This window comes from Homo sapiens, chromosome 9 (assembly GCF_000001405.40).
Source record: "Homo sapiens chromosome 9, GRCh38.p14 Primary Assembly".
Classification (NCBI taxonomy): Eukaryota; Metazoa; Chordata; class Mammalia; order Primates; family Hominidae; genus Homo; species Homo sapiens.
The window spans coordinates 34364718-34377986 of NC_000009.12; the positions used below are offsets into that span (position 1 = coordinate 34364718).

The window sequence follows — 13269 nt, forward strand, 5'->3', positions numbered from 1 at the left end:
GTTGGAAGGGAAACTGAGACACACTCTCAGGAACAGAAGGTCACAGAATGGGAGCCTAGGCTCCAGTCCCAGGCTTCCTGCAATGGCCACTCAGTTCATCCCCAGTACTCCTGAAGGGAGTTCCCATTTATGCATATCACACCCACCACCCACCAGCCCAGGGGTAGAGGGCAGACCAGTGAGGAATTCTGGCTACAACAAGGCTGCTGGAAGCTCCACAGGGGAGGGTCAGCACCCGCCCCCACCCAGATCCAGATGTGCAGAGAGAGATAAATTTGGAATGTGCAGGGATAAGGGACTGGAAAAGGCTGGCAGGAGCCAGGGTTCCTGGCACCCTGGGAAATTAGGGATAGGGATAGCTGGCAGCCCAGTTCTTTTCTCTTTCCCTAACTCCAAGAAAGATCCTCGTGAATCCTGACATTTCAGCATGCCCTCCCAATTACTTGAATCTTTTTTTAGCATCAATGGAGAAAGGGGAAACACTTCTCGGCCTAGAATCAGGCCCACTTGGTGGCAGCTTCAGAGATGCACATTTCAGCTAGCTCCCATCCTTGGAGGTATACAGACTGGGATGGGCCATGCTGTTGAAAGGGGATGAGTTCTGGGTCTGAGATTCTAGATCCCTGCAAACAGGATACCAACGTTCTAGTGCAGCTGTGGTTACTAATTTTCCATATGACCTCAGGCCAATACCCTCCTCTCTCAGAGCTTCAGTTTGTTCATCTGTGCTTTTGTGATTAATGGGGTCAATGGCAGAAGCCAGACAAGAAACCAGATCCCAAGCCAAGGGCCAGTTTGTTGGAATTTGCCCAGACAAGGTGTGCAGTCTGGTTTCCATCCAGGCCGTCAGACACTCCTGCCTGCCTTCAATGCCCTTCTAAAAGGTACTCCTCCTCCAGGGAAGCCTCACAGATTATCTTCTTCCCCCCCATGTCATACACTGCTTGGTCCAGGGCTGTCCAATAATACTTGTTGCAACTATGGAAAAGTTCTATAATTTGCACTGTCCAATATATTAGCCACTAGTCACATATGGCTGTTGAACATTTGAAGTGTGGCTAATGTGCCTAAAGAACTGAATTTTAATTAATTTTAGAAGTAAATTTAAGAAGCCATATGTGGCTACTCACTACCATATTGGACAATACAGGTTCTAGCCAAGGCTTTTCTCTCTTTGTTCCTTGTTTATAATAGTTCATAGGAGTTACCATTTATTGAGCACTTACTCTTTGCCAATTTTTGTGTGTTTTATTTATTTTTTTCCTCTTTTTTTTTCTTAATTTATTATACTTTAAGTTATAGGGTACATGTGCACAACGTGCAGGTTTGTTACATATGTATACATGTGCCATGTTGGTGTGCTGCACCCGTTAACCCGTCATTTACATTAGGTATATCTCCTAATGCTATTCCTCCCCACTCCCCCTGCATAGGGTTTTATACACATCTCAGTGAATCCTAGAAATTCCATTTTAAAGATGAAGAAACCAAGGTTAGGTAAAACTGGTTTCAGGTTGCATAGAAAGCTGGAGAACCATTCAAATGTGGGTCATGTTCTCCAGCCATTTAAGGAACTTTCCAGGGCCCAGCCTGGGGTTCTCCTTCTACACTTACTCTAGAGCACATGGCTGGACACCAGGGCCTGGGGAGGCTTATCAGTGAGTATCAGTTGGTAGATGGTAGACACTTGATGAAAAGGAGAGAAACTATATTCACTTTCCATCTCCCAGGGACCCAGGAATCCTGGCTCCTGACATCCCACCTTGAGGTATCTCTCTTTTTGCCTTTCTCCTGGACTACAGTGTCCCTTGGGTCACAAACTCAGAGTTCAACTGGTGCTATGTACAGAGGACGGGGGAGGGGGTGTCACAGCAGGCCCAGAGAAAGCCATCCAGGCTGAGAGCTGGGTTCTAGAAGGATCCTTGTTTTTAATCAATAAAACAAGAAATAGTATTATAATAGCTACCATTTATTGAGCACCTACTTTGTGCCAGGCACTTTACATACATTTGTGCTTATAATTCTTACAACAACCTCGGGAGGTAGGCATTATTATCACCATTTGACATATGAGAAAACAGAGGCTTAGCAAGGTTAAGCGGCTTGTTCAAGGTCACAGAGCTGGTAGATAAGTGATAGAATCAGCACTTGAGTTGTGCATCTGTGAGGGCCCCAAAGCTTTCATCAGGCATTTTCCACACTGAGAAAATAAAGAAGGTAGAGGAGTGGTGTATTAGTCTGTTTTCACACTGCTGATAAAGACATACCCGAGACTGGGTAATTTATGAAGAAAAAGAGGTTTAATGAACTCACAGTTCCATGTGGCTGGGAGGCCTCACAATCATGGTGGAAGGCAAAAGGCACATCTTACATGGCAGCAGACAAGAGAGAATGAGAGCCAAGCAAAAGGGGAAACCCCTTATTAAACCATCAGATCTCGTGAGACTTATTCACTACCACCAGAACAGTATGGGAGAAACTGCCCCTATGATTCAATTATCTCCCACCAGGTCCCTCCCACAATTATGGGAGCTACAATTTAAGGTGATATTTGGATGGGGACACAGCCAAACCATATCATTCTCTCCCTGGCCCCTCCCAAATCTCATGTCCTCTCATTTAAAAATCAATCATGCCTTCCCAACAGTCCCCCAAAGTCTTAACTCATTTCAGCATTAACTCAAAAGTCCATACTCCAAAGTCTCATCTGAAACAAGGCAAGTCCCTTCCACCTATGAGCCTGTAAAATCAAAGGCTAGTTAGTTACTTCCTAGATACAACGGAGGTACAGGCATTGGCTAAATACACCCATTTCAAGTGGGAGAAGTTGGCCAAAACGAAGTGGCTAAAGGCCCCATGCAAGTCTGAAATCCAGCAGGGCAGTTAAATCTTAAAGCTCCAAAATGGTCTCCTTTGACTCCATGTCTCACATCCAGGTCACACTGATGCAGGAGGTGGGTTCCCATGGTCTTGGGCAGCTCCACCCCTATGGCATTGCAGGGTACAGCCTACTTCTCGGTTGCTTTTACAGGCTGGCGTTGAGTGTCTGTGGCTTTTCCAGGTGCATGGTGCAAGCTGTCAGTGGATATACCATTCTGATGTCTGGAGGACGGTGGCCTTCTTCTGACAGCTCTACTAGGCAGTGTCCCAGTGGGGTCTCTGTGTGGGGGCTTCCCCTTCCACATTGCCTTAACAGAGGTTCTCCATGAGGGCCTCACTCCTGTAGCAAACTTCTGCCTGGACATACATGCATTTCCATACATTCTCTGAAATCTAGGCAGAGGTTCCCAAACCTCAGTTCTTGACTTCTGTGCACCTGCAGGCTCAACACTACGTGGAAGATGCCAAGACTTGGGGCTTGCACCCTCTGAAGCCAAGGCCTGAGCTGTATCTTGGCCCCTTTTAGCCATGACTAGAGCAGCTGGGATGCATGGTACCAAGTCCCTGGGCTGCACACAGCAAGGGGACCTTGGGCCTGGCCCACAAAACCATTTTTTCCCTCCTAGGCCTCCAGGCCTGTGATGGGAGGCACTGCTGCAAAGGTCTCTGACATGCCCTGCAGACATTTTCCCCATGTCTTAGTGATTAACATTTGGCTCCTTGTTACTTATGCAAATTTCTGCAGGGGGCTTGAATTTATCCTCAGAAAATGGGTTTTTCTTTTCTATCTCATCATCAGGCTGCAAATTTTCCAAACTTTTATAGTCTGTTTCCCTTTTAAAACTGAATGCTTTTAACAGCACCCAAGTCACCTCATGAATGCTTTGCTGCTTAGAAATTTCTTCTGCCAGATACCCTAAATCATCTCCCTCGAGTTCAAAGTTCCACAAATCTCTAGGGCAGGGGCAAAATGCAGCCAGTCTCTTTGCTAAAATATAGCAAGAGTCACCTTTACTCCAGTACCAAACAAGTTCCTCATCGCTATCTGAGACCAACTCAGCCTGGATTTCATGTCCCAATCATTATCAGCATTTTGGTCAAAGCCATTTAACAAGTCTCTAGGAAGTCCCAAACTTTCCCACATTTTCCTGTCTTCTGATCCCTCCAAACTGTTCCAACCTCTGCCTGTTACCCAGTTCCAAAGTTGCTTCCACATTTTTGGGTATTTACAGCAGCGCCCCACTCTACTGGTACCAATTTACTGTATAGGTTCATTTTCACAGTGCTGATAAAGACATAACCAAGACTGGGTAATTTATAAAGAAAAAGAGGTTTAATGAACTCACAGCTCCACGTGGCTGGGGAGGCCTCACAAGCATGACAGAAAGGCACGTCTTACATGGCGGCAGGCAAGAGAGAATGAGAACTAAGCAAAAGGGGAAACCTCTTATAAAATCATCAGCTCTCATGAGATCTATTCACTATCACCAGAACAGTATGGCGGAAACTGCCCCCATATTTCAATTATCTCCCACTGGGTCCTTCCCACAACACATGGCAATTATGGGAGCTACAATTCAAGATGAGTTTTAGGTGGGGACACAGCCAAACCATATCAGGTGGGGAAACGGATGCATTCTCTAGGGGGTAGGGGACTGGTTTTGCTACCAGAGCTGTTGATGGAAGCTAAAGTTCACCCTGTTTCCCACCGACCCGCTCTGGCATGCCACTTTTCTCCAGACTCAGCTGCAAAGTCAGAAAAAACTCACTCCGGCTGAGGTTGCTCTTCTTAGAAAGAGAAAATGGCTGGCGTGGTGGCTCATGCCTGTAATCCCAACACTTTGGGAGGCCAAGGTGGGTGCATCACTAGGTCAGGAGTTTGAGACTAGCCTGGCCAACATGGTAAACCCCATCTCTACTAAAAAATACAAAAAGCCAGGCATAGTGATGCATGCCTGTAATCTCAGCTACTCAATCGCTTGAACCTAGGAGGAGGGGTTGCAGTGAGCTGATTGTGCCACTGCACTCCAACCTGGGTGACAGAGCAAGACTCCATCTAAGGGGGGGCGGGGGGAAGAGAAAATGGCTGAGATGAAAGACCTTCCCCTGTCTGTTTATTGGTAGTTGTCAGTGTGTGCATGTAGCCTGTGTTCAGAAGCACAGACCACCAGAGTAAGAACATCACTCCCTTCTAGGCCACACCCCAGGCACATGTGCAGGGGGTGAGGCAGCTGAGGAATCTTGAAAGGGCTATTTATTTCCTACGAGAGTCCTGGGGAAACCGCCTGGGAGGAGGCTGGCTCAGCAATCAGAGCCTCAAATTTGCTCCATGCCCCCTTCCTCCAGATCATCCAGCCTCAGAGAGGTTGTGTTCATTTCATAGATCAGGGACCCATGATGCGTGTTTCTCTCTCTCTCTCTCTCTCACACACACACACGCACACTCTTCAGTTAAGGCACGAAGTCTGGCCTGCATGGCCCTGCAAGTCTGTTCCCATCAGGCACATTTGGCCCAGGGCTGAGCCCATGTATGTACACAAATGGGTTAGTGCAGTGTTAGGAGTCTCTTCACAAATTGGGAACATGATGATGGCTCTGTGCTAAGCCCAGTCCTCCTGTTCCCTGGGAGGGGATCTCTTGCCTCCTTGTCAGCCAAACACCTCCCCAGCTGGACTGGGACCAAATCAGCCACAGTTCAGGTGAGTGCTGGGGACTCAGGGCCTGGCTTCTAACACTAAGAAAACACACGTTCTAAGTGTGGTGGGGGCTATTTGGAGACCTTAAATAAGATCAAGTCCCCACCTAAGATGGACAAAGATGGCCACGAAAGCCAGGAGGGGGAGGTTTCTCTTTGTGCTTTTAAACCCCAACCATGTATAACCATGTATAACAGGAAGAGAGCTGACCTTTTTCCTCTAAGCTCTCTGGCTTCCACCCCAGGGAAGAGGTTTCTGCAGATTGGTGTGAGTGTGGGGGTGGAAAGGGCACAGTAAGGATTGTGCGTTGGAGCAGGAGATTGCTTCAGTGCCCCCTCCCTAGGCCCCACCTTCAGCAGCTGGTTCCAGCACATTTAAGTCAGCAGCCACTTAATGGGTGGTATAGAGGTGGGAGGTTCCTGGGAGTACATGGTGCGGGTGTGACGGAGGGTTCAAGGTCTGCATGAAGACTGGGGGCTTTGCGGTTACCGGGCCCTGGGCTGGGTCAGGACGCCCAGGTAAAGTAGGCGATCTCATCCAGGTCGACCGGGTAATCGGTGAGCAGCACCGGCGTCTTGTCGAAAAGCTCACCCTTGTAGCTGCGCCACTTGCCGGCGGGCAAATAGACGTCGCGCTCCTGCTTGCCTGGCTCCAGCACCGGGGCCACAAGCAGCGTGTCCCCAATAAGGAACTGCGAGTCGATACGGTGAGCTGTCTCGTCGCCGGGCGCAATCCACCAAAGGGGGCGCACGATAGGGTCACCCGTGTCGGTGACCTCGCCCGCCAGCTCAAGCAACAGCGGTGCCACAAGCGAGGCCCGCAGGGCGGCGAACTTCTGCGCGATGGCCACCACTTCCGCGTCGTAGCGCCAGGGCGGGATAGAGAACTGCATGGCCGGCATAAAGGCGGCCACTTCCAGCCAGCGAATGTAGAGCTCGCGCTCGGGCACATCGCCGCCGGCTGTCCGCTGGGGCACGGCGTTGCCGCCCACCATATCGGGTAGGATGAATGGGTAGCCCAGCATGCTGACGGTGAGCACCGCGGGGATGAGTGAGCGCAACCCCAGGTCGTAGCCCCACACAGAGTCGCGATCCACCAGGCGGAAGAAGCAGGAGATGTTCTGTGACTGGTAGCCTACGCGCACCTCCGCCAGCGAGAAGAAGGGCAGCGCCATCTCAGTGTAGCGCCGGCTCCAGACGCTGGGGTCCGGCAGCGGCCGGTAGGTGCTGAAGTCCCGCGGCAGGTAGCTGACCTCGCCCGCGTCGAACTTGAAGGAAGCCACGGAGTAGCGAGAGCGCAGCCGCCGCAGGTGTCCCTGGAACCAGTCGCGGGCCTTTGGGTGCGTGAAGTCTAGCACCGCGCCGATGCCGTTCCACCAGCGCACCAGCGCAGGTAACCGGCCCGTGGGTTCGCGCACGAACAGCTCGCGCTCCACGCCCTCGCCGAAGCGCGACGAGTTGTAGTTGACAAAAGGGTGCACCCAGAGCGTGACGCGGAAGCCGGCGTCGCGCAGGCGGCGGAACATGTCGCTGGCGTTGGGGAATTTGACCTCATCGAAGTCGAAGTCGCCATAAGCAGGTGTGTACATGTCGTCGATTTCCAGGTGGCTGCTGTTGAAGTGGTGCAGGCGGATCTGTTGGGCAAAACGCAGCACCTTGTCCTGGTCCACGGCGCGCCCGTACAGCGCCCATGTGGACCAAATGGGGTCTCGGAAGGCCTCGGGTGCTGGCACCCTTGACGGCTTGTTGAAGTAGCGACGCACCATGTACTTGTGGATGGAGGTGACGTCTGAGCCCACGCACACTCGGTAGCTCAGCTCTGGCGCTGCGGCGCGGCCGGCGGGTGGCTTGTAGGGCGTGTCGTGGTAGCGCGCCTGAAGCCGCAGCGAGCGCTCCGTGCTGTTCCAGCCCAGGTGGAAGGGCACTGAGTCATTGACTTTGATGGCGGCCGCGCGCGAAGATAGCCAGTAGCGCTCGAGGATGCCCCCAAACGCGGCGTCGGAGGAGTAGACATCGCTGGTGACGAACGGCTGGGGCTCCTGCTGGCCATCCAGGCGGATGGGCCAGTGTTGCGTCCTCATCTCGGCGCCACCATACCAGTGGGCCGCCGCGTCGCCCAAGAACATGGCGTGCTCCACGGCCCGGCCCGGCGCTGCCTCCTCCCAGCGCACGCGGTAGCACATGACCGTGTCCTTGGGCCGCACAGTCTGGATGAAGAAGTGCAGCGGCAGCCCGTCGGCCGTGAGCGAGCAGCCCAGCAGGGCGCCATCGCGGCTGCAGGAGTCAAGGTCCAGCGCGCCGGAGCGGAAGGCCAGGCGGAAGACCTGCTCTCCCTTCTGATTGCGGATGGAGAAGCCGCCAGCTTTCAGGTCCAGCAGCTCCGCGCGAAGTCGCTCCGCCTTGCGTAGGGAGACGCTGTAGTAGCACCAGGCCACCACCGCGGCCAGCACAAGCAGCAGCCCCAGAACCGCGGAGCCCAGCAGCGGCTTCAGGTCTTTGGAAGGCTTGGGCTTGGCAGGTGAGAAGTTGTCGGGCAGGAAGGTGTACATAGCTGCGGCTGCGATGGCCTCGGGGTTCTGACGGTATGCGTAGCAGCCAGGCCGGCGGCGGCGGGGGTAGGCCTGGCTCTTCTCCTGAGGGTTCTGGAGCATTAGTGGGCTGCTAAGAAAGGAGCGGGCCGTGGGGCCATCTGACTGAGTTCATCTCAACCTGCTCTGAAAGGAGGAGACAGAGATGGAACTGAGCTATCTCATCCCATGATATTTCCATTTGCTGCCGCAAGCTAAGAGGAGGTGTATACTTTGGGAAGATGAATACTGGAACCTGAGGGCTTGAAGAGTGGCAAAGGTGAGACCCTTACCAGGACAATCTGTGCCTAACCCACCCTTTCTCATGGGACCTAATGCTTGCCCAAATTAGGACTCTGTGACTGGGGAGCGGCCCATGTGACTGGGAGATGGCACCCATCCTCATTTTCCTAGTGGAGAAACAAACCCTGAGAGGGTCAGGAAGCTTTCCAGGATCACAGGATAAGCCAGGCCTCCCCAGATCACACATGGGGCCGTTCGGGCTGAAGAGACGGGAAAGGAACTAGAAAAGTCCTGCTCTCCTAGAGGTGTGGATGGTCAGGGTGGGAGAGGGGGTATTGTCCAGCCAGCTCCTTGAGACTTTTTTTTTTGAAATGGAGTCTCTCTCTGTCACCCAGACTGGAGTGCAGTGGCATGATCTCAGCTCACTGCAATCTCTGCCTCTTGGGTTCAAGCGGGTCTCCTGCCTCAACCTCCCGAGTAGCTGGGATTAAAGGCGCACACCACCACACCTAGCTAATTTTTGTATTTTTGGTAGAGACAGGGTTTCACCATGTTGGTCAGGCTGGCTTCGAACTCATGACCTCAAGTGATCCACCTGCCTCAGCCTCCAGAAGTGCTGGCATTACAGGCGTGAGCCACCTCGCCCAGTCCCCCTTGAGACTTTTAACAGGGCGGTAGGCTAGCTTCCCTGTCCCCAGAGGGGGAGAGGAGGGAGGAAGGGAGAACAGCTCAGGGATGTGTTTTTATCCTGAGTCAAAAGCCTGATGAAGTCTGGAGATTGAAGAAGACACCCAAAGCCAGACTTAGTCCCAGGGCCTGGTTTGGAGGGAGGTAGAGTTGGGTTCAGACATTAGGGCCTGGGGCAGGAGCCTGGCATGGGGGGCCAGTTGTTTCTCACATCTGCTTCTCTTTGCCCTCAAACTCACCCTGCTCTCAGCCATCATCCATCACCAAATCCATTTCCATGCCTGCCTTCCTGCTTTGCTCCTGGCACCACATCTGTGGGCCAGCTACTTCCTCGCTCTGTTTCACCCACTGTCCTGTTTCTGTCATAGTTTGGGCACTGTCACTTCTCCCCTGTATTACCAAACGCTTCCCCCAACAGGCCTCTCTGACTCTAACTTCTTTCTCACCAGTGCCTTCTGATCACGGCAACCATAGTGATCTTTCTAAAGCACTTATCAAACCATATCTATCCCTAGCTTCGAGAGCTGCTCATTGCTTCCATGATGAAATTTAAAAGTGTTTGCTTTGCACTGGAGGCTCCAGGCATGATGTGTTCTCAGCTACCATTCTGATTCCATTTCCAGCCAAGCCTATCTTGTGATTACCAAGCTCGTTCCTTCCCCAACCTAAATCCTTTAGGCCACCTGCTTCAGGAGATTTCACCCACCTAGCTTGGCCCAGCGCACCTCCTCCACCTACCTGCTCTCCAGGGATCAGACACCCACCACTACCACTAACACACATAAACTCTGACACACTATATGCTAAATATCCAGATATGAGGCCATGCACGGTGCTCATGCCTGTAATCCTAGCACTTTGGGAGGCCAAGGAGGGCAGATCTCTTGAGCTCAGGAGTTTGAGACCAGCCTGGGCAACATGTTGAAACCCTGTCTCTACCAAAAATACAAAAAAAAAAAAAAATTAGCCAGGCATGGTGGTGTGCACCTGTAGTCCCAGCTACTTGGGGGGCTGAGGTGGGAGGGTCGCTTGAGCCCAGGAGGTCAAGGCTGCAGTGAGCCAAGATTGTGCCACTGCACTCCAGCCTAGGTGACAAAGTGAGACCCTATCTCAAAAAAAAAAAAAAAATACAGATATGACTACAGGGAAACACAGGCTCAGGGGAAGAGGTGTGTCCTACTCTGCCACTCAAGGCCACTGACCGTTCCTGTCCCAGGCTTCAGAGCAGAGTCCAACAAAGAAATAGCACCACCCAGGTGCACACACGGGCATACACACAGCCAGCCAGTTGGTTGCCCAACTGCTCCAGCTCGGGGGAAGAAGAGAAGGAGACTAGCAAACAGTAATTAGCCTCCTCCCAGATGCCAGTGTCTGTCTCTAAGTCCCCAGGGACTTCCAAGGAGATGCCGGAAATACTCAGGTTTTTCACCTCCCCCATGCAAGAATGCAAGGTGTGGAGCAGAATTTGATCCTAAATGTCAATACACAGCTCCTCCCATAGGCACTTCCCACACGGTGCTAGCTCAGGGCCTCATTCTCAGTGCCCTCTGCCCCCAGCTGCCTAAGCTTGTCAGCCCTAGCTGGTCTGGAACAGACTCTTATTCCCTTTCTCTCAGTCTACAATGACTTAGCTTTCCTCCCCATTCCTATATAGATACAGCTTAGAAAACACCTCCTGGAAAATGCAGCCAGTGGCCTTTAGGTGATGCCCTCAAGCTGAGCAGAACCCAAAGAAGGCTTTAGGTGGCTCAGATCACACCTGTGAGTTTATATTCATTCATTCAAGATAACCAAAGCCCTATTCTGGGCACCAAGGAAATAAGGAGAGAGAGGGTCAGTATCTGAAGAGGAGAGAGACTTCCTCATCCTCAAAACTTTCATATGAAGTCAGCCTATCTCATGAGCCCTGGAGGCAGGAAGAGGCCACCAAGGTGGATTCAAAAGCCCTTTCCGACAGTTATGTTTTGAGAATCTTAATTTTCTGGGATCTGAAGTTCTTTGATGAAAGACAGAAGCCCACAGGCCTGGGCACCCACCCACCCCAGGCACCATGATAGTGTCCCAAATGTCACCACAGCATCCAGTTCTATCAACAATGTGGAACAGCAGACATAGCTGCAGTGTCCATTTTACAGGTGAGGAAACGTGGCCCAAACAGAAAAAGGAACTTGTCTGAAGTTAGCCAGGTATCAAGGCTGCCTGGATCTAAAATCCCAGCCCAGCTCTCCACAGTGTAAGTTTTAGGAGATGGGAGATAATGATCTGACCTGGCTGCCTGAATGCAGTAGCAGAAAGGAGCCCTGGGGCTGAGCTGGTGGGACCAGCTTCCATCAGATGGACATGGCATGGTGAGGCCTGTCTTTCCAAGGGCTGGTGCTGCTGCTTGCTCCACGCGGACCACGAAGACCACGAGGGCAGCAAAGAGGGCAATTTTAATGGCATCTGGTACCGGGGCTTTGGGGGAGGAAGTCTGTGGTTCCGGTGTTAACAGTGGTGCCAGAGACCTCTGTAATCTGCCGCCTCCGCCAGGTGGAGTCTGGGCTCTGCCCCTGCTGAGCCTCTCCCCACCGGACACTCAACCTCAGCCTTGGCTGCCACAGCTAGTCTGGTCTGAGGGGGAGGGCCCCGCCCGACTCAACTGAGGGGAGGCCATTCCAAGTAGAATCGTTAGTTGGACACAGTTCCCGGGGGGATGGAAATGTCAAAGGCAACTCGATCCGGCCCATCTCCCTCTCCTGCCAGGCGACGGTATCCGCGGGGATCGAGTGACTGCCTACATAGCCTGGAATACTCCACAGCCGCCCTCCCTACCCCGCCCTGAAGGCTATACTGTCCGAAGGGGCCGACCGAGGTCAAGGGACCTGTCGCCCCGCGGGAATCGCGGCCGTGGGATGGGCCCAGGTGTTCAGGCTCGCTCCACCCATTCATCGGTGGGAGCGAAAGTTCAGGAATCGTGCTCCTTCAGCAGCCCCCCGCCCCCCACAGCCCTCCCGCTGGGCTCACCCATTGCAGTTACAGCCCGGCAGAAGCGGGGGTGAAAGAGCTTCCCGCCGATCCCCTGCGCTTGAACCAGAGTGAAGCTGCCGCCGCGCCGCGCGGGGCTCTGTCTGGCAGGGCACAGCCCCTCCTCGGGTCCCGCCCTGGGGTTCCTCGGCCACGCCCCAGTCATCCAGTCTCGTCTCGGGCCTCAGAGTCCAGCCCTGCCCTTGACGTTCGACCCCTCCTCCCAGGTTATCAGGCGGATCTGTGGCCCCGCCCCTCAGCCCCACCTTCCTCCCACCGCTCTGTGCTCTGCCCCTGGCATTTCAGGCTTGCTCAGTCCTGCGCCCCGCGGCTCCGACTCCCGCCGGCGGGCCCGCCCCTCCTGGGCCACTGCTAACCCGCAAGCGGGCGGGGCTCGGCCCCAGGCCTGCTGGGACATGTAGTTCTGCAGAAAGGAGCAGCTGCGGAAGGTTGGGGTTCTTGCACCTCTAGGCTAGGTTTGGAATGAGGATGAGAGGGAGAGAGCTGCAGGGTAAAGGAGCAGAGCTGGCCATTGGAATTCCTTCCTTCCCGGTTTGGACAGGTGGAGGCCATATCGGTATAACGCTCTCACAAGCCCTCAGCTTTCCATACGGAAAAGTGGTGGCGGAATTCCGCGAGTATCTCAGCTCCCAATGCAGGTGCTTCCAATCGAGGGCCCCACGGAGGGAGCTGTAGTTCCAACCCGCCGCGAGTCCAAGCTGTCGGTTCCCACCGGACCAAACCAGCGGTGTCCGAGGTCAGGGACTGAGAAGACCGGTTTCTGCTCGGTGTTTTGCAACGTCACCCGCCTCCCAGACCGCTACCCCCAGACTAGTTATTTATAGGGTCCAGCCCCTCCTCCTAAGTTACAGCCTTTAGTTAGAAATGCCCAAGCTGCGGGAAAGTGGGTGTGCCCCGCCATGCCCCTCTCCCCGGGGGCTGGGCAAGACTCTGAGGTTTCATTTCTTTTTTATTTTATTTTATTTTTATATTTATTTATTTTTGAGTTTCGTTCTTGTTGCCCAGGCTGGAGTACAATGGCACGATCTCAGCTCACTGCAAACTCCGCCTCCCGGGTTCAAGCAATTCTCCTGCCTCAGCCTCCCAAGTAGCTGGGATTACAGGCACGCACCACCGCGCCTGGCTAATTTTGTATTTTTAGTAGAGACAGAGTTTCACCATGTTGGTCAGGCT

At 53.2% G+C, this 13269-nt stretch overlaps 1 protein-coding gene across 3 annotated transcripts, besides 5 other annotated features; it reads right to left on the reverse strand.

Moving 5' to 3' along the window:
- Positions 1-1948: 1948 nt before the first annotated feature.
- Positions 1949-12181, reverse strand: MYORG (myogenesis regulating glycosidase). Of its 3 annotated transcripts, none has more exons than XM_011517966.4 (2): positions 12076-12181; positions 1949-8284 (listed from the first exon to the last, which is right to left on the reverse strand). In XM_011517966.4, exon 2 carries the CDS (start codon positions 8224-8226, stop codon positions 6082-6084), a length of 2145 nt encoding a protein of 714 aa, XP_011516268.1. In that variant the 5' UTR covers positions 8227-8284; positions 12076-12181; the 3' UTR covers positions 1949-6081. The 3 variants fall into 3 exon arrangements, with proteins under 3 accessions (XP_011516268.1, NP_065753.2, XP_016870419.1); NM_020702.5 differs by having other exon boundaries at positions 1949-8289; XM_017014930.3 differs by having other exon boundaries at positions 11340-12181.
- Positions 7111-7611: an enhancer, noted in NCBI's record as "H3K4me1 hESC enhancer chr9:34371826-34372326 (GRCh37/hg19 assembly coordinates)". NCBI's record gives its function as "activates a minimal SCP1, AML or CMV promoter by ChIP-STARR-seq in primed H9 embryonic stem cells {active_cell/tissue: H9 hESC(primed)}" and the evidence as "EXISTENCE:reporter gene assay evidence [ECO:0000049][PMID:30033119]".
- Positions 7612-8112: an enhancer, noted in NCBI's record as "H3K4me1 hESC enhancer chr9:34372327-34372827 (GRCh37/hg19 assembly coordinates)". NCBI's record gives its function as "activates a minimal SCP1, AML or CMV promoter by ChIP-STARR-seq in naive and primed H9 embryonic stem cells {active_cell/tissue: H9 hESC(naive and primed)}" and the evidence as "EXISTENCE:reporter gene assay evidence [ECO:0000049][PMID:30033119]".
- Positions 10948-11529: an enhancer, noted in NCBI's record as "H3K4me1 hESC enhancer chr9:34375663-34376244 (GRCh37/hg19 assembly coordinates)". NCBI's record gives its function as "activates a minimal SCP1, AML or CMV promoter by ChIP-STARR-seq in primed H9 embryonic stem cells {active_cell/tissue: H9 hESC(primed)}" and the evidence as "EXISTENCE:reporter gene assay evidence [ECO:0000049][PMID:30033119]".
- Positions 11530-12110: an enhancer, noted in NCBI's record as "H3K4me1 hESC enhancer chr9:34376245-34376825 (GRCh37/hg19 assembly coordinates)". NCBI's record gives its function as "activates a minimal SCP1, AML or CMV promoter by ChIP-STARR-seq in primed H9 embryonic stem cells {active_cell/tissue: H9 hESC(primed)}" and the evidence as "EXISTENCE:reporter gene assay evidence [ECO:0000049][PMID:30033119]".
- Positions 12156-12545: a silencer, noted in NCBI's record as "silent region_19844". NCBI's record gives its function as "represses an Ori minimal core promoter by ATAC-STARR-seq in GM12878 lymphoblastoid cells {active_cell/tissue: GM12878}" and the evidence as "EXISTENCE:reporter gene assay evidence [ECO:0000049][PMID:35858748]".